The sequence below is a fragment of the Homo sapiens genome, chromosome 3 (assembly GCF_000001405.40).
Source record: "Homo sapiens chromosome 3, GRCh38.p14 Primary Assembly".
Taxonomy (NCBI): Eukaryota; Metazoa; Chordata; class Mammalia; order Primates; family Hominidae; genus Homo; species Homo sapiens.
Genome location: NC_000003.12, coordinates 196,928,872 through 196,945,066, shown reverse-complemented (window position 1 = coordinate 196,945,066; position 16,195 = coordinate 196,928,872). Strand labels below are relative to the sequence as shown.

The 16,195-nt window shown below is 45.1% G+C and overlaps 3 protein-coding genes and 1 long non-coding RNA gene across 10 annotated transcripts in view, besides 8 other annotated features; 1 reads left to right on the top strand and 3 right to left on the bottom strand.

The window, feature by feature from the left end:
- Positions 512-1,185: an enhancer, noted in NCBI's record as "NANOG-H3K27ac hESC enhancer chr3:196670753-196671426 (GRCh37/hg19 assembly coordinates)". NCBI's record gives its function as "activates a minimal SCP1, AML or CMV promoter by ChIP-STARR-seq in primed H9 embryonic stem cells {active_cell/tissue: H9 hESC(primed)}" and the evidence as "EXISTENCE:reporter gene assay evidence [ECO:0000049][PMID:30033119]".
- NCBP2AS2 (NCBP2 antisense 2 (head to head)) lies at positions 1,524-2,393 on the bottom strand. The gene has a single exon (NM_001355243.2). It carries the CDS (start codon positions 2,348-2,350, stop codon positions 2,051-2,053), a length of 300 nt encoding a protein of 99 aa, NP_001342172.1. The 5' UTR covers positions 2,351-2,393; the 3' UTR covers positions 1,524-2,050.
- Positions 1,860-2,533: an enhancer, noted in NCBI's record as "H3K27ac hESC enhancer chr3:196669405-196670078 (GRCh37/hg19 assembly coordinates)". NCBI's record gives its function as "activates a minimal SCP1, AML or CMV promoter by ChIP-STARR-seq in primed H9 embryonic stem cells {active_cell/tissue: H9 hESC(primed)}" and the evidence as "EXISTENCE:reporter gene assay evidence [ECO:0000049][PMID:30033119]".
- Positions 1,860-2,615: a biological region, named in NCBI's record as "H3K27ac hESC enhancer GRCh37_chr3:196669405-196670078".
- Positions 1,936-2,095: an enhancer, noted in NCBI's record as "active region_21105". NCBI's record gives its function as "activates an Ori minimal core promoter by ATAC-STARR-seq in GM12878 lymphoblastoid cells {active_cell/tissue: GM12878}" and the evidence as "EXISTENCE:reporter gene assay evidence [ECO:0000049][PMID:35858748]".
- Positions 2,316-2,615: an enhancer, noted in NCBI's record as "active region_21104". NCBI's record gives its function as "activates an Ori minimal core promoter by ATAC-STARR-seq in GM12878 lymphoblastoid cells {active_cell/tissue: GM12878}" and the evidence as "EXISTENCE:reporter gene assay evidence [ECO:0000049][PMID:35858748]".
- NCBP2-AS1 (NCBP2 antisense RNA 1) lies at positions 2,533-5,190 on the bottom strand. Its single transcript, NR_046630.1, has 3 exons — positions 4,940-5,190; positions 3,925-4,093; positions 2,533-2,674 (listed from the first exon to the last, which is right to left on the bottom strand). It is a non-coding gene; the product is annotated as an NCBP2 antisense RNA 1 (long non-coding RNA).
- Positions 2,534-3,207: an enhancer, noted in NCBI's record as "H3K27ac hESC enhancer chr3:196668731-196669404 (GRCh37/hg19 assembly coordinates)". NCBI's record gives its function as "activates a minimal SCP1, AML or CMV promoter by ChIP-STARR-seq in naive H9 embryonic stem cells {active_cell/tissue: H9 hESC(naive)}" and the evidence as "EXISTENCE:reporter gene assay evidence [ECO:0000049][PMID:30033119]".
- Positions 2,539-9,661, top strand: NCBP2 (nuclear cap binding protein subunit 2). 4 transcript variants are annotated; one of them, NM_001042540.2, is made up of 4 exons: positions 2,539-2,641; positions 5,635-5,674; positions 7,436-7,557; positions 7,985-9,661. In NM_001042540.2, exons 1-4 carry the CDS (start codon positions 2,564-2,566, stop codon positions 8,054-8,056), a joined length of 312 nt encoding a protein of 103 aa, NP_001036005.1. In that variant the 5' UTR covers positions 2,539-2,563; the 3' UTR covers positions 8,057-9,661. The 4 variants fall into 4 exon arrangements, with proteins under 4 accessions (NP_001036005.1, NP_031388.2, NP_001397786.1 ...); NM_007362.5 differs by having other exon boundaries at positions 5,635-5,816; positions 7,419-7,557; NM_001410857.1 differs by having other exon boundaries at positions 2,539-2,907; positions 5,635-5,816; positions 7,419-7,557.
- Positions 2,666-2,805: an enhancer, noted in NCBI's record as "active region_21103". NCBI's record gives its function as "activates an Ori minimal core promoter by ATAC-STARR-seq in GM12878 lymphoblastoid cells {active_cell/tissue: GM12878}" and the evidence as "EXISTENCE:reporter gene assay evidence [ECO:0000049][PMID:35858748]".
- Positions 2,836-3,075: an enhancer, noted in NCBI's record as "active region_21102". NCBI's record gives its function as "activates an Ori minimal core promoter by ATAC-STARR-seq in GM12878 lymphoblastoid cells {active_cell/tissue: GM12878}" and the evidence as "EXISTENCE:reporter gene assay evidence [ECO:0000049][PMID:35858748]".
- A 691-nt stretch (positions 9,662-10,352) lies between the features above and the next one.
- The window catches only part of SENP5 (SUMO specific peptidase 5), a 66,795-nt gene continuing 60,952 nt past the window's right edge, over positions 10,353-16,195 (bottom strand). For all 4 annotated transcript variants that reach the window (NM_152699.5, XM_005269310.4, NM_001308045.2 and 1 more), the window contains 2 exons: positions 15,384-15,434; positions 10,353-14,254 (listed from right to left, as the gene is read on the bottom strand). In NM_152699.5, coding sequence (NP_689912.2) covers positions 14,144-14,254; positions 15,384-15,434 — 162 coding nt within the window. In that variant the 3' untranslated portion in view covers positions 10,353-14,143. The remainder of the gene's footprint in view (positions 14,255-15,383; positions 15,435-16,195) is intronic.

Genomic DNA, 16,195 nt, shown 5'->3' with positions numbered 1-16,195 from the left:
GTCTGTCTGTATCCCTGACCCTCTAAAATGAGGGGTAGTGAAGGGGTGGGTTGCCCCTCCACACCTGTGGGTGTTTCTCGTTAGGTGGAAGGAGAGACTTGGAAAAGAAAGAGACACAAAGTATAGAGAAAGAAAAAAGGGAGCCCAGGGGGCCGGCATTCAGCAGACGAGGATCCCGCCGGCCTCTGAGTTCCCTTAGTATTTATTCATCATTCTTGGGTGTTTCTCGGAGAGGGGGATGTGTCAGGGTCATAAGATAATAGTGGAGAGAAGGTCAGCAGATAAACACGTGAACAAAGGTCTCTGTGTCATAGACAAGGTAAAGAACTAAGTGCTGTGCTTTAGATATGCATACACATAAACATCTCAATGCCTTACAGAGCAGTATTGCTGCCCCCATGTCCCACCTCCAGCCCTAAGGCGGTTTTCCCCTAACTCAGTAGATGGAACATACAATCGGGTTTTACACCATTGCCCAGGGACGGGCAGGAGACAGATGCCTTCCTCTTGTTTCAACGGCAAAGAGGCGTTCCTTCTTCTTTCACTAATCCTTCTCAGCACAGACCCTTTACGGGTGTCACGCTGTGAGGGACGGTCAGGTCTTTCCCTTCCCACGAGGCCATATTTCAGACTATCACATGGGGAGAAACCTTGGACAATACCTGGCTTTCCTAGGCAGAGGTCCCTGTGGGCTTCCGCAGTGTTTGTGTCCCTCGGTACTTGAGATTAGGGAGTGGTGATGACTCTTAACGAGCATGCTGCCTTCAAGCATCTGTTTAACAAAGCACATCTTGCACCGCCCTTAATCCATTTAACCCTGAGTGGACACAGCACATGTTTCAGAGAGCAGGGGGTTGGGGGTGGGGTTACAGATTAACAGCATCTCAAGGCAGAAGAATTTTTCTCAGTACAGAACAAAATGGAGTCTCCTATGTCTACTTCTTTCTACACAGACACAGTAACAATCTGATCTCTCTTTTCCCCACAGGATAGGAGTCCAGGTAACTTGTTCCATGGCAGGCAGTAGTCTTTTTTTTTTTTTTTTTTTTTTTTGAGAAAGGTTCTCGCTATGCTACCCAGGCTGGTCTCATCTCAGGCTCATGCGATCCTCCTGCCTCTGCAGTGGCTGGGATAAGACACAACTGCCACCAGGCCCTGCCCCTAGGCAGTAGTCTTAATGCCTGATGGTGGGGGGTTGGGGAAGGAAGGGGTTGAGTATCAGGGTAAATGCTGCAGAGCTGTGTTAAGGACTTAGGCCCTGGAGTCAAATGCCTCTGCTCACATCCCACTCTGCAAGACTTTGGGCAACTTAAGCAGCAGCCTCTGTTTCCATCGCAGTGGCTCTTGCCTATAATCCCAGCACTTTGGGAGGCTGAGGCGGGAGGATCACTTGCGCCCAAGAGTTCGAGACCACCCCATCTCTACAAAAAAATCCAAAAAGTAATCTGCTTCCTCATGTGAATGTCGTTGTAAGGAGTGAGATAACACATAGAGTGCAATGAGCAAGTCCCAGCACAGAAGACTCATTTCATAAAATACGTGTTTATTATTACCATAGGCCTACAGTCCCCGGTATTCTTAACACATCTTGCCTGAGAAGTATCACACTCATGCCTATCAACCAGCTCACACATTTAATCAAAGGAATTTGGCAGCTGTAGGGTTGTCTTTTCATCCATATCGTCCCTGGAATTAACTGTCCTGCTATACCAGTCAGATTGAGCAGCATCTGTCAAGAGTTTCAGTCCCACTTGCAGAGGAAAGGCTCTCTGGCTTCGGTCCGTGGCTCTCCGTAGGTGCCGTGTCTGGACCCAGCCTACCTTCATCTCTGTTAGGCTTAGGGCTGTCTCCACACTGTGTCTTGTCCAATCACAAGACTTCAACGGAGCGGGCGGTCTGGCCTAGGCTCTTATGCGTGGGATGTCTGCAGGCCAACAATCCCAGTCGGGATTCGAAGCCGCGCGCAGTGCCCGGAATGACCCCTCCACATTGATGCCACTGTAGAGCCCGGAAGGAAAAGCAAGCGGCCTCGGCCCCGCACAGCCCAGGATTAAATGTTTGCGCCAGGGCCCCTCTGGCTACCTGGTGGTGGCCCCGAGCGGCCTCGGAGGCCGCGGCGTAGCTCCTGGGTGAAGGCGTCTCTAAATCGCTCAGCGCGGCGGCACAGGGAGCCCACGGGCCCAGCCGCGAGGTCCTGCAGGCGGCGGGCCGCGTCCTGGCCCCGCAGCTGGGCCTGCAGCAGTGCGAAGGCCGTGAGCTGCGCCGCACGTCGGATAGGCCGCGACTCTGACAGACGTTCCACCAGCTGCGGGCTGTGCAGCAGGGCGGCCAGCAGCCGCCGCAGCACCATCTTCTCCAAGCGCCCGGAACCCGACCTCGCCGCCCTCGTCTTCCGCCCCGCGGCGCCCGACCCGGACGTCTATGCCCCCGCGCAGCTTGATGACGACACGCCGCCCTCGGATTGGGTCCAATGAGATGCTCGCCTCCGCGCGTTTCCGCTTCCGCCATCGCGGACGCAGCCTCGTGCCGGGAGTCGCCGCATTGTGGTCCGCTTCTCTGCACTATGTCGGGTGGCCTCCTGAAGGCGCTGCGCAGCGACTCCTACGTGGAGCTGAGCCAGTACCGGGACCAGCACTTCCGGGTGAGGGAGGCCGGGCCGCGAGACGGGAAGGCCCTGGGCAAGAACGCTGAGAAACGGTTTGCTCTTGTCTCATTGTGTCGCCTCCCATTCAGCTGAAATCCGCAAACGCCAAGTGGGGCCCCGGTGCCTGCTGGCGAGGCAGGGAATGGGTGCTGGAAGGGCGCTTGGATATCACTGAAGCCACTTGCTCTGGAAGACGGGGAACTGGAGGCTCGCTTATCCCATTCGCTCGCAGCCGCTCCCTGTACCCCAGCCAGTGCCGAGAGGTTTGAGCGGTGGTGGTGGTGGCGGCTCCCGTTTCCACGGTTGTGCCTCCGCAGACGACTACGTAGCAAGGGGGAGGGGTGCCCTTCTCTCTCCCAGAGTAGGCAGAGGCGCCTTCCTGATGCAGATGCGGGGCTTTTTGCTTTGTTTTTTAAATCGGCGAAGCAGTGCCCTTCGGCGATTCGGGCCCCTTCTCTGGGAGGATGGTGTTACGGAAGCTGTACGCGGTGCGTGGGAGACACAAGTGGAGTCCTCACTCCGCCCTCGGGGAAGCTTCGGAGTGGGGAGGTGGACCCGCCAAGCTCGGCACTTTGAGGGTGTTCGGATGTAAAGATCGGAGAATTGCTGGATTTCAGAAGAGGGAAATTTTTAGTCCGGACTATATCACAGTATATTTTGTGGAAAAAGGGGAGGCAGCAGATATTCAAAGTAGACTTTTCAGTATCAGCGGAGGTAGGGATGGAATACGGTTGGGGGTTGGCGGGGCGGGACTCATTAACCCAATTATTTAGTAAACGTTTATCGAGTGCTGTCGCCAAATCCTTGTGCTAAACCCTAGAGGGAGAGGGAAGACAGTTTCTGCGCTCTGCGAGCTCATAATCCCCTGTAGTGAGGATTCAGAAAAGGGAAAAATCCCCTTGTGACTGGGAAAGGAAGGGGCGCATATAGCAGAGGGTAAGTGTGGAGAATGTGTGAAATGTGTTACTAGAGTAGGGAAAGGGAAATTTTGTTTGACGCTAAATTAGGGAAGCTCTTAGATTTATTTAGTCAAGGCTGGGAACGGTGGCTCACGCCTGTAATCCCAGCACTTTGGGAGGCTGAGGCGGGTGGATCACGAGGTTAGGAGTTCAAGACTAGCCTGGCCAAGATGGTGAAACCCCGTCTTACTAAAAATACAAAAATTAGGCGGGCGTGGTGGCAGGCGCTTGTAATCCCAGCTATTCGGGAGGCTGAGGCAGGAGAATCGCTTGAACCGGGGAGGTGGAGGTTGCTGTGAGATCGCGCCACTGCACTCCAGCCTGGGCAACAGAGCGATATTCCTTCTCAAAAAAAAAAAATTTATTCAGTTAATGTATTTTATTTTTTGAGACAGAGTCTCGCTTTATTGCCTAGGCTGAAGTGCAGTGGCGCAATCACGGCTCACGCAGCCTCAACCTCCTGAGCCTAAGTGATCCTACCCACCTCAGCCTCCTGAGAAGCTGGGACCACAGGCTCGCGCCACCACATCCAGCTAATTTTTTGTAGAGACAGGGTCTCCCTGTGTTGCTCAGGCCAGTCTCGAACTCTGGGACTCAAGCGATCCACCTGCCTGGGGCTTCCCAAAGTGCTGGGATGCCTAAGTGCCAGGCATGATTTGCACTTCTACCACTTTTAGTTACTACTTTAGACAGTTCCACATCCTGACCATTTTGAACTTAAAGCATCCTGTGAGATGAAAACTGGAACCTTCTGACTTTGTCTATTATTCATCTCCTCAGTCTAAACCTGTAGCTTTTTTTAGATGCTAATGCCATACTGTCATGTGGAATTTCTAGCATTCTGTGAATGGAATCCATATTAATATACTTTAAGCACTTACACCACAGTTATCTTAAACTGTAGGCTATTTATTTGGATCTTACTTACATGTGTGAGAAAAGTAGAAAAAGAAGATGCCTCCTTTCCATGTTCACAAATCAGTAACAGCAGTAAAATGAAAGGAATTTACTTTCTCTAATGTCTCACTCCAAAGTTCCGAAAACCTCTTTTTAACATACAATGACTATTGTCCTGTGGACTTTTTTTTTTTGAGATAGAGTTTCACTCTTGTTGTCCAGGCTCAAGTGCAGTGGTGCAATCTCAGCTCCCTGCAACCTCCACCTCCCAGGTTCAAGCGATTCTCCTGCTTCAGCCTCCCGAGTAGCTGGGATTACAGGCGCCCGCTGCTACCATGCCCAGCTAATTTTTGTATTTTTAGTAGAGACAGGGTTTCATTCACTATGTTAGCCAGGCTGGTCTCAAACTCTTGACCTCAGGCGATCCACTCGCCTCAGCCTCCCAAAGTGCTGGGATTACAGGCATGAGCCACCGCGCCTGACCCCGATGAGCCATTTTGGACCCAGGGCTTTGTCTGTCAGGTGTGTTGGATGAAGCCCAGTTATATGCTTAAGTCTCTGGCTTCATCCTGTCATCCCAATTTGGAAGCCCATTAAGAAAGTGAGCTCTGTTTTGTTTTTAGTGATCACTACATTTTCCCCTAAACTCAGAGAAAGATCTATGAGCACGTAAAGCATCAAGGTTGTGGCTTTCAACAGTCTCTAGGGGGTTATTAAAGAGGAACTCTCTCTCTCTCTGAAAACCCACTTATTTTTCACTACGAAGGATAAAAGGGCCCTTTGTCATATATTGGGTCAAGGTCCAGAGTCTACACTTGGGTTTAAAGGATGCACTGCTGAGGATATGGTGTGTGCAGGGAAAAGGGAAGCCGCTTGCGTGGCAGTCGGGCGTAGAAGTGACTTTGTTGTATGTGGTATAACTTTTGAGCCCTGTCTCTACTAAGAGTCTGGACTTCGCATAAGTGCTTCACAGAAGGTCGACATCCCCCTTTTTGGGCAAGGGATTTCTGGTAGGCTGGGATGAGAGAAGTTGATTTCCAAACCAGAATTAATGAATGTCTCTACCGTACTTAGAAATACTATTTAAGCAAGGCTCTGAAGTTGCTTAACTTTTGTCTCTATTTGAAATTCTAGGGTGACAATGAAGAACAAGAAAAATTACTGAAGAAAAGCTGTACGTTATATGTTGGAAATCTTTCTTTTTACACAACTGAAGAACAAATCTATGAACTCTTCAGCAAAAGTGGTGACATAAAGAAAATCATTATGGGTCTGGATAAAATGAAGAAAACAGCATGTGGATTCTGTTTTGTGGAGTATCCTTCCCATGGATCTAATGTAGCTGCTGAACCAGGGTAGAGCTGAGAGTGGTAGCTCATAAGCGTCCCTGCACTCGTCCCTACGTTTTCCTTCATCTCCCTCCTACTTTCCACCCAGTGTGTCTCTGCCCTTATACTGTAAAGCTGATACTATTTATATTCTCTTCTGAAATCCATGCTTTATGGTTCTTTAACAAAAAGTTTTTCAAGAATGTTTGCCCTTCACGTAAAAAAAAAAAAATTCCAAAGAATGTAGTGAAAATATAAAAATCTCGTACTGTTCTAAACCCCTAATGCCCTTTGCCAGAGGCAGTCAGTTACCAGTTTCTTGGGCGTCTTTCAAGAAGTAACCCTGTGGGTGTGCGGTAGTGTATTTCATGTGCTGTTTTTAAAATCATTTTTTTATTTTTTATTGTTCCATTTCAGCATATGTAGGTCTTTTTTTAAAATAGCTGTACAGCTGGGCATGGTGGCTGGTGTTTGTAGTGCCAGCTGCTCAGGAAGCTGAGGCAGGAGGATCAGTTGAGCCCAAGATTTCAAGGCTGCACTGAGTTGTGACTGTGTTCCAGCGGGGGTGACGGGTTAAGACCCCATCTTTAAAGAAAAAAACTTTTAAGTAAATAGCTGTATAGTATTTCATTATATAGATGTATATAACCTGACTGTATAGGTACAAACCAAAACTATTTACTTTGATCATTTAATTCCCTTACTCAGACTCTTTTAAGTATTGGACCTCTTGGATTTATCCTATGTTCTTTTTACTGTATGTTTTGGTCATTCAATTTAATATTCTGAGAAATTTTGCAGGCCCAATTTAATATATCTTTTGAATTTTTTCCTGTGCCCTGAATTATGTTTGTTTCGGTTGAAATTTTTCCTTAAGTGTCTGGTGATCCCTGGATTTCTGCTCATAATTAAGGAAAAGAATGCTGACTCACTGGACCCAGGCAGGGCTTCTCTCCCAGATTGCAGGCTTGCCTCGGGGATACACAGGTTTCCCAAATGCTAGAATGAAAAGAGATTTTATTTTGGCTTGCTAACATCAAAGATACTAGTTTCTCCAGATGGTTTATTCAGAACACTGTTGTCTTATTTTTATTTGTCTGAGATTAAATGTCTTCCCCTTTAATTAAAGGGAGGTCTCTGATGAAGTAGGTTTGGGAACTGCTACCTTGGTGACAGCTTGAGTCTTTCCTTTAGTGAAGTGCAGCACAATTCCACGTGCACGGTGACCTTCTCTTGATTAGGGTGCCTTGGAATGTACAGAACCTAACTTGAATATACAGCACTGGTTTCTTGGATAAGAAGTGTACAGTGATCTAAACTTGCAAACCAAAATACAGAGATGATGGGACCAAAAATTATCAACAGGAATGTCCAAGAAATATGATCAGTGTAGCCATGGATACGTGTCATATTTGACTCTATGTGCTTCCAAACCAATCGCAAACAGGCCTGGGCAAGCTGAATTACTGTCTTTGAACTCCATCTGGTTGGATTAGCTCTTGTACTTTTTAACAACTCAGCTTCATTTACATGTTGTTCCCCTATTTCCAGAAATGTTTGGAAAAATGCTAGTGTTCCTTAATACTTAAGATATTACTCACGCGCAGATGCGGAAAACGCCATGCGGTACATAAATGGGACGCGTCTGGATGACCGAATCATTCGCACAGACTGGGACGCAGGCTTTAAGGAGGGCAGGCAATACGGCCGTGGGCGATCTGGGGGCCAGGTATGCAAGAAGGGTCTCTGGGCTCAGCCATTGCCTGGGATTCCAGTCACAATGACAGGTGTTTTGGCAATTTGTATTTACTCTTTTGTAAATAACTTTGTGTCTATAACCTTGGCTTGAAGTGGATCTGAAAACCACCCAACGGTTTGGGTGAATTTTTTTTTTAAACCGTGAAATGGTATGTTCTGTACGTTTCTAACAAGCAACCATTCTTGAACTTCTGCTAGGGCTAGGTATCTTCCACCTGCAGGAACATCTAAAATGAAAGCAAAACGCACTGAAGTGAGCTGAAGTGCATATGTCCTGCTTGAAATGTTCACATTGTGGCATCTGAACAGGTTTCACTGTTTGTCTAACATGTTTGTGGGAGGCATATTTGTTACACCATTCTTTTCCATACTGTAACTCTGGATTCTTTCCATTAAAGGTTCGGGATGAGTATCGGCAGGACTACGATGCTGGGAGAGGAGGCTATGGAAAACTGGCACAGAACCAGTGAGTGGTGAGAGCTCTGTCAGTGACAAACACTCCTTTGGCCTGTTGAATTTGCTGAAGAACATCACCTAAAGTCTGCACACGAGCCCATTTTTACCAAGATTTGATCAGTGTCTTTACTGAGCTGGAAGCCTCTGAAAGTTATTAAAGGACAGAATCCAAAAGAATGCCTTTAATTCTTGTCTGAGAATCTTGGCCATGTGTCAGATTATCAGAACAATTTTGTTACCAGGTCAGAAATTGTGTTCTTTGACAACAGATTGGATCTGTAATGTTGATTAGTCTTTAGCCATAACCACTACACTTTTAGAAAGACAGAAAAATGTAAGAATTTGTTTTTACCATAATGAGTCTTAAGTAGGTTCATGATCTACATTGGGGCCTGGGATTATTTTTTTAATTTTAAGTTTGCATGAGATAGCCTAATAAATGGAGGTGGGGCCAGGCATGGTGGCTCACACGTGTAATCCCAACACTTTGGGAGGCTGAGGAGGAAGGATAGCTTGAGGCCAGGAGTTTGAGACTAGACTGGGCAACATAGCAAGACCCCGTCTCTACAAAGCACAACGAAAAACAACAAATGGAGTTGTGCTATGTTGTATTGCTTTGCACAAAATTAGGAACAGGTGTTTGACAATTGAATTTGTTTTCTGTGAATTCTAACCTCTAAAGGCATGCTTAGAGGTCAAGGACCTTCCTGTGTAGTTGGTGCAAAAGCAATCTCCACAGGACAGCACTGCTTCCATGCTTCATACATCAGGAAATGAGGCCAGAACTTGAGTATTTACTAACACGTTTTTCAAAAGATGTCAGTGTTATACCTAAAGCTAAAAAAAAGCAAGGGTTTGTCATAGAGGGAACCTCTAAATAATTTCAGGGGTAGGGGAGATGTTGTCAATAGGAAATGGGATAAAATATCAAGAGACAATGAAAACACTGCCTTGACATGAGGACCAGCAAGTTTATTCTTTTCATTTTCAGTGATGTTGGGAATGGACTGGGTTTTAAAAGGGAGCTTGAAGAGGGAATGTTTGACAGTCACAGAAGGTTCCTGCAGCAGATGCCTCTTTTAGCCATTTCTCATTTTTTTCCTCAAATTTTACCTACTGAGGCTCAAGCCTTCACAGTGAGCTGATGGTCTCTACAGGGAGGGGAGTCTAGGGAATTTATTTGGTATTTGTAAGGCAAGAGGTGATTTCTCTCTAATATATCTGAGTTATTGCTCATTTAAAACTGTTAAGTCCAGTATAATTTTCCCTGATATGAAAAAATGTGCATTTTTTTCACTTAGCAACAAAGTACCTTCTAATTTCCAATAGTCCGTGAAAGTTGGGGCTGAAGTACCTAAGTGTGAATGTCTCTCCCGTTAAACTGAGTGTAGAAATCTGAATTTTTAAAAGAGCTGTAACTAGTTGTAAGTGCTTAGGAAGAAACTTTGCAAACATTTAATGAGGATACACTGTTCATTTTTAAAATTCCTTCACACTGTAATTTAATGTGTTTTATATTCTTTTGTAGTAAAACAACATAACTCAGATTTCTACAGGAGACAGTGGTTTTATTCGGATTGTCTTCTGTAATAGGTTTCAATAAAGCTGGATGAACTTATCGTTGTTGCTGCCTGTTTCCTGGCCTATAAAGAGGGTTGTGTTCTGGAATTCCTGTACTCTGGATACACATGAATGAGTTCCAGGGGGATTCTATGAATAGTGTGGACAATTCGCGTGTCCATTTTGATTGACTGACAGTTGGAAATAACTATTGCTGCGTGTGAAGAGAGCGCACAGATTTTCTTGTGAAAGTGATCAAATAGGCACCAAGCAACCTCTACTGATGGAAGAATAGGTTAGTTTTCCAAAAAACATGCTCTGGATGATTGCAAGGGAAGGGAAATTGTGGGTGGATTAAGAACATCTTATGTTTCCTGGGCTAGAGAACACTAAATGTGAGTCTCTTTACTGCACCATTCTTTCCTATTTCTCATGGATAGCATCTGACCTGTTTCTCACTTTAATCGGAGAAAAGTGAAAATTCAAACGTACAGATGAAGGCATCACTATTAATACATGTTAGTGAAGTGTGAGAATTAAACATTCAGTTTCTCAGTCAAGCTAAGATGAAGATATAGAACATTTCCGTTGTAGAAAATTCGAGTGATGGTGCTGCTGCTCTGAGGGTGAGCTGGTTAGGGCCTGCACTGCTCACTGTTCTGAAATGACCTCTGTCGTGACTGGAATGTCACAAGAAAAAAATTACTCCTCGCCAAACAGTACATGTTACTCAAGACGAGAGAACACAAGTTTATAAAGGCATTTAGTTTATTTTTCAAAAAAATACTTTGCTAGAAGGGTTGAGTACTGTAATTTTACATGATCATAATCTCTAAATAAATTCTTTTTCTGACCAACAGGTACCAGTTAAGTGAACAGCTCGTCTAGGTCTGCTTTTGTAACACCCAAATACAATTAGCACTTCTCTGCTGGTATTCCCTGGGCCGTCTTAATTATCTAGAGGCCAGGAGGCAAAGCCTAGCACGTAACAAAGTATGTGCTTTGTAACTGCTGATTAATTCAGTTTCTTAACTAGGCAGAGCAGGTCATCAGTGTATCTAATTCACACTATTAATACACTGTCTTGCTGAAGAGTCTGACCTGCCCAGAACCCCGTTATGGCTAGCCCAGGGAAGCAGTAAACTGCAAAGCAGAGAAAAGGGGCAGCTAAGATGAGGCTAGTGCTGGCTGAGTCCCAGTTAGGTCTGTTACTGTTCTGTTCCAACTATAAATCCAGGATGACTGTTACTCAGATTCAGTGCTATGTAGAAAATAGAATGCACAGCCAAAAACATAATTTGGGGATGACTGGCAGCACCTTTTTTTCCCTTTCTTAAGAGGCTAACTGAAAGTTGATTAGGATTCTTGAGAGAACGTAACTAAAAGTTGAATCAAATCTATATTCACTGCTATAGATTTAATAAAAGGAAAGACCACTGTAAAGATGCAACTACAACCTGATGCGTCTGCTGAGGAGAGGACTGGGCAGCTTGTTGAAGGCTCGTCAAAAGTAGCGCTTAGTTATCACAAGGCCTGCACTCAACCTCAAAAGCGTAAGGTTTAGGCCAGGCACGGTAGCTCATGCCTGTAATCCCAGCACTTTGTGAGGCAGAGGCGGGTGGATCACCTGAGGTCAGGAGTTCCGAGACCAGCCTGACCAACATGGCAAAACCCTGTCTCTACTAAAAATACAAAAATTAGCTGGGAGTGGTGGCGCACACCTGTAGTCCCAGCTATTGGGGAAGCTGAGGCAGGAGAATCACTTGAACCTGGGAGGCAGGGGTTGCAGTGAGCCGAGATCACATCACTGCACTCCAGCCTGGGCAACAGAGCAAGACTCCGTCTCAAAAAAAAAAAGCATAAGGTCTGCCTACCTCATGGGCACCCAAACAGTTCAGTGCCAAACTAGTACCAGTAAAGCCATGCCTGCCTCTTTCACCAACAGTCCAGAGTATATTTCAAAAATATCTTTATTAACCAAGGAAGCAATTACTGCAAACATCAGGACAAAGGACATTCTAATCTAGGACTTGAGTTAAATAGAGGTTTACACCTAATCACAAGAAGAGAGGGAAAGCAATTACGTGTGCTGAAACCAAGTTTCATCAATGACAAATATTTTAAAATGACTTTTAAAATACTTAACATTGGCCAGGCACGGTGGCTCCCGCCTGTAATCCCAGCACTTTGGGAGGCCCAGGCGGGCAGATCACTTGAGGTCAGGAGTTCAAGACCAGCCTGGCCAACATGGTGAAATCCTGTCTCTACTAAAAGTACAAAAATCGGTGGGGCGTGGTGGCACACACCTGTAATCCCAGCTACTTGGGAGGCTGAGGCAGGAGAATCGCTTGAACCTGGGAGGTGGAGGTTGCAGTGAGGCAAGATTGCGCCATTGCACTCCAGCCTGAGGGACAGTGAGACTCTGACTCAAAAAAAAAAAAAAACAAAAAACCCAAACTCAACATTTAGTCTAAGCCACACTGGGCAGCACACCTCAAGGTGCCCTATGAAGCATGAGACTGGAAGTGGAAGAGTCACTGGATTTGGGCAGCTCTCTCTCGGCGTTGATTTTCTTACAGGAACAATTCTGTCTCTTCTGCATGCCAGGTTCTGTCACTGAGGAACTGAAACACTTCCTCACTCTGAAGTACAAGACATTTTGAACTGACAGCCCAGTGACTGGCTACTTTGGTATACCACACCCCCACAAAAAAAAAAAAAAAAAAAAAAAAAAAATCAGAGGCAAATTTCTGGCATGTTTTGAAAAATCTCATGTTTGCATAATTATGTTTGAAAAACTCATTATGAGATCTTCCTTACCCTAAACTGTCATTTTTTCCTAACGCTGACAGAACCCCACCTATAGCAGCATAAAGTGCCTCTACTCTCAGTCTTTTTAACGACTTGAAACACAGTAAGAAACACTGACCTGGTTTGACATTAAGGATTTTGGGTCTGGAGGACTCAGGAGAGGAAAGTGCTGGGGCTGCTTCCCAGTGTCACCACTGGTGTTGGGAACCCTGCATGTAAACATGGTCGGACTCAATCCTCAACTGCTGGCAGTCAGCCTTCTCAACCATACCTCAGGGCCAAGTGAAACTAAACATTTTAGCTTTTTCAACACTCCAAACCTACGCGGGCATAAACTCGAGAATCTTCTGCCATTTACTTTGTTTTTCTATTCAGACTTCTGAGTTTCTCATACATACATTGGTTGGTTTTCCTCCCAATTCAGAAAGGGTAACTGGGTAGGTTTCACATGTATCTTTCCAACATGTCACGAAAGGCTGGATTAAAGATGTGAGACGCGTGATATTCATCCTAATGCAGCTAAGTGTATGGACAAGGGCCACTTGGCCTTTCTTCAGAAGATGAGGTTCAACAGAAGGAGAAGAACAGCTGTGCTAGTGTCAGCACTGGCCATGCAGAAGCCAGACGTACCCTGCATGTTACTGAGGTCACTAATGGGACAGGAGAAAGAACCTGACACGGTTGCTGCGCTCCCATGGGACTAAGTTGTCTCTATTACCTTCCCTCTTCTCTCCAGCCACCTGCAAAACATCTCAAGTCAGTCAGCCTTCAGTTTTGAATGTTTACGTTTCAGATACCCTTGAAATAGAAATGCATTTGGTAAACCTTAACTTCTTCCAATTGGGAGGCAACACAGGGAAATGACAACTTAAAAATTACTCTGAGAACAGCTGCATTCTCATTTGTTTGACCACTAGTTTGATGGATGTTAAGATTTTTTTAACAGGTCGAAAACAGAAAAATTCAGGGAATTCAATATCCCAGCAAAAGCCTTTATGAGATGTATGCCACGTATTATAATTCCTAAAACCACGATTGAAATCTGTCATTGTTACTGGCCTCCAAGGTTGCTTTTTCTCACACCTTACTCCTCCCAAAGCAGCCACTGTGCTTACAAGTGTGCCTCCAGAAACAGAAGACACCAGTCAGTTTACGACCACTTCCATCTCACCCTTCAAAAGGAATGGACTGCACTCTCTAAGACTCACTTGGAGAGGGAAGTTGGTGAAAGTTGCCGCTGGTAAAGTAAAACAGGACTGGATTTGTCAAAACCACCCCCAGCTACCCTTAATGCCCCAGGGAACACTTACTATTCTCAGAGTTATGTTGTATCAAAAACATCTTGCATTTTTAGGTTCTGGGAGTAAATTTGAAACCTGTATTCAGTTCACGTCTAACTAAGTTTCAAAAGCTGCACCAAATCTACTAAGCTTTTTTTTTTAATACTCTTCACTGCATGCTCTGTCTATATGCATGCGTTTGAATAATAAATATTAAATATGGGGGACGCACAGAACCATAAAATTAAAAATGAAACCAAACTGAACATTAAACAATAGTACATGGTAGCTGGAGAAATGAATAAGGGCAAAAAATAAATTTGAGGTAACAATAGTGGCCCAACACCACTGATCTGAAATATCTGTAAAAATTCAACTAAGTGTTTGGAGATTCAAGTAACAAACCATCTGCTCCAACTTGGTCAGACTTCCCAGAGTCCCTGCTGAGTTTCAGTCCATGAGCCGGCACTCACATAGCTCCTTGTAAATCCTCTTCCGCACTCGGGGCATGTCTTCTTGTGAAAACTGGAAAGGCTGCTCTAAGGCGAGGCACTTGCAGTACTGCAAAAAAAAAGGTCCCAGAAACACTTCAGTGGCACTTGGAGTTGTGGACCAGCCCATTCTGTTTTACTAAATGCAGACCTAATAGTGTCTAAGGCAGAAGACCCCAACCTTTTTGGCACCAGGGACTGGTTACGTGTAAGGCAATTTTTCCACAGACTTGGGGGAGAGGGGGTTGGTTTCAGGATGAATTATCAGGCATTAGTTAGATTCTCATAAGGGGTGAGCAACCTAGATCCCTCGCATCTGCAGTTCACAACAGGGTTCACACTCCTAAGAGAACCTAATGTGGACAGTATCTGTCCGTGGCCCAGGGGTTTGGGACCCCGATCTAAGGCAGCATTTTCATGTCTGTTTAAACTACTGTAAAAATACACTGTTTTAAGCATTTACCCAAATTATAGGTGACTGACCAAGCTAGTGCATGGCTTGGGATCTCCTCTCCCTCCTGACCCAATACTGTGAAAAGCAGCAACTGATGAAAAGGCCTCAATTCCTCCCAAAGTGCAACCTGCTGGAGTGCAGCTAGACCCATCATGGCCCTTAATGGGAACTTGAATTTGTTTATAAAACCCCAAACATGCATGAGGTATACAAACGAACCGGTCTTCCAAGATCTTTGCAAATCTCTAAATTCATGCATCATATTCTGTAATTTCCAACATAAATATATGTATAACTGAATTTTTTTCCATAGCCCTTTTCGATCTCTAAGGAGATCTACAGCACAAGATGGCAGTTTCTCAACGTGGACCTTATTTAAAATCTAATCACTGTGTCAAAGACCTGCAGATTGCTTGCCAATGTTTTTTTTTTTTTTTTTTTATGCAAATGCCAATGGTTATGATATGGACAAATTCAAGTCAGTCTCCAATGTGGCTTACTAATAACCTCCAGTGAGACATGGATGACACCCACACTTCACTCTTGATCCCTGGAAGGTGGTTCTTCCTAATGATAACATCTGAACATGCAGAAACTACTGCTCCTCAGCAATAAAGGGGAGGGAAAGTACTCCGTTGCTCGTACCTAGCATCATATACACATACAGGAACTGCCATCTCTCCCCTCTCAACCCAACAGACTCAATTCACACATTGTAAGTTCCGAAAAGCAAGTGTTTCTTTACCTGGAGCACAAAGACTCCACAGTCACTGTCGTTTTTCTGTTGTGGAATACACTGAAGGGAAAAACAAAATAGTCATTAAAACAAGATCCATTACTTCTCTTCAGATAAGAAAAACTCCTTTATGGAAAAATGCGCAAAAGATAGGAAACTTTTCTCTCTCCAGGACAGCTGGTATATCTGATATCTCAAGCATCTAATTTTATGGAGGCACCTGGCCACATAAAAAGAGCTATCAGGTGGCAACCCCAATTTATAGGACAATGTTTTACCTAAATATGAGAAATGGGAAATCAAATGTAAAAACCTGTTTTAAAACATGCATTTGGATACTGAGCTCTGCTATCAATTCATTGACAGTGGAGTCAAAATGGAACTGTGCCTGGGAGAACAAAGGCCCAGCCTCTGGATGCTAGGATGGCGACAACTCCGCTGAGCAGTCTTCACTTCTGATCTCACATCACACGACCCTGTCCTATTCTTTGAAAGAAATCGTGAAGGTAAACAGTATGGTTTTTGTTTTGGGTTTTTCGCGACAGGGTCTCACTCTGTCGCCCAGGCTGGAGTGCAGTGGCACGATCTCAGTCTCCTGAGTTCAAGCAATCCTCCCACCTCAGCATCCCAAGTAGCTGGGACTACGCCTGGCTAATTTTATTATTTGTAGAGATGAGGTCTCACCATGTTGCCCAGGCTGGTCTTGAACTCCTAGACTCACGCAATCCACGCACCTTTGCCTCCCAAAGTGCTGGGATTACAGGTGTGAGCCACTGTGCCCGGCCAACAGTATGTTTTTAAAAGAACTGGTTACTGTATTC

Excerpts from the sequence above, each read along its gene's own strand:
- NCBP2AS2 (NM_001355243.2), bottom strand. The coding sequence starts at position 2,350 with ATGGTGCTGCGGCGGCTGCTGGCCGCCCTGCTGCACAGCCCGCAGCTG.
- NCBP2 (NM_007362.5), top strand. The coding sequence starts at position 2,564 with ATGTCGGGTGGCCTCCTGAAGGCGCTGCGCAGCGACTCCTACGTGGAG. Across the intron at positions 2,642-5,634 it reads ACCGGGACCAGCACTTCCGG|GGTGACAATGAAGAACAAGA; the intron begins GTGAGGGAGGCC and ends TTGAAATTCTAG. Across the intron at positions 7,558-7,984 it reads GTGGGCGATCTGGGGGCCAG|GTTCGGGATGAGTATCGGCA; the intron begins GTATGCAAGAAG and ends TTTCCATTAAAG.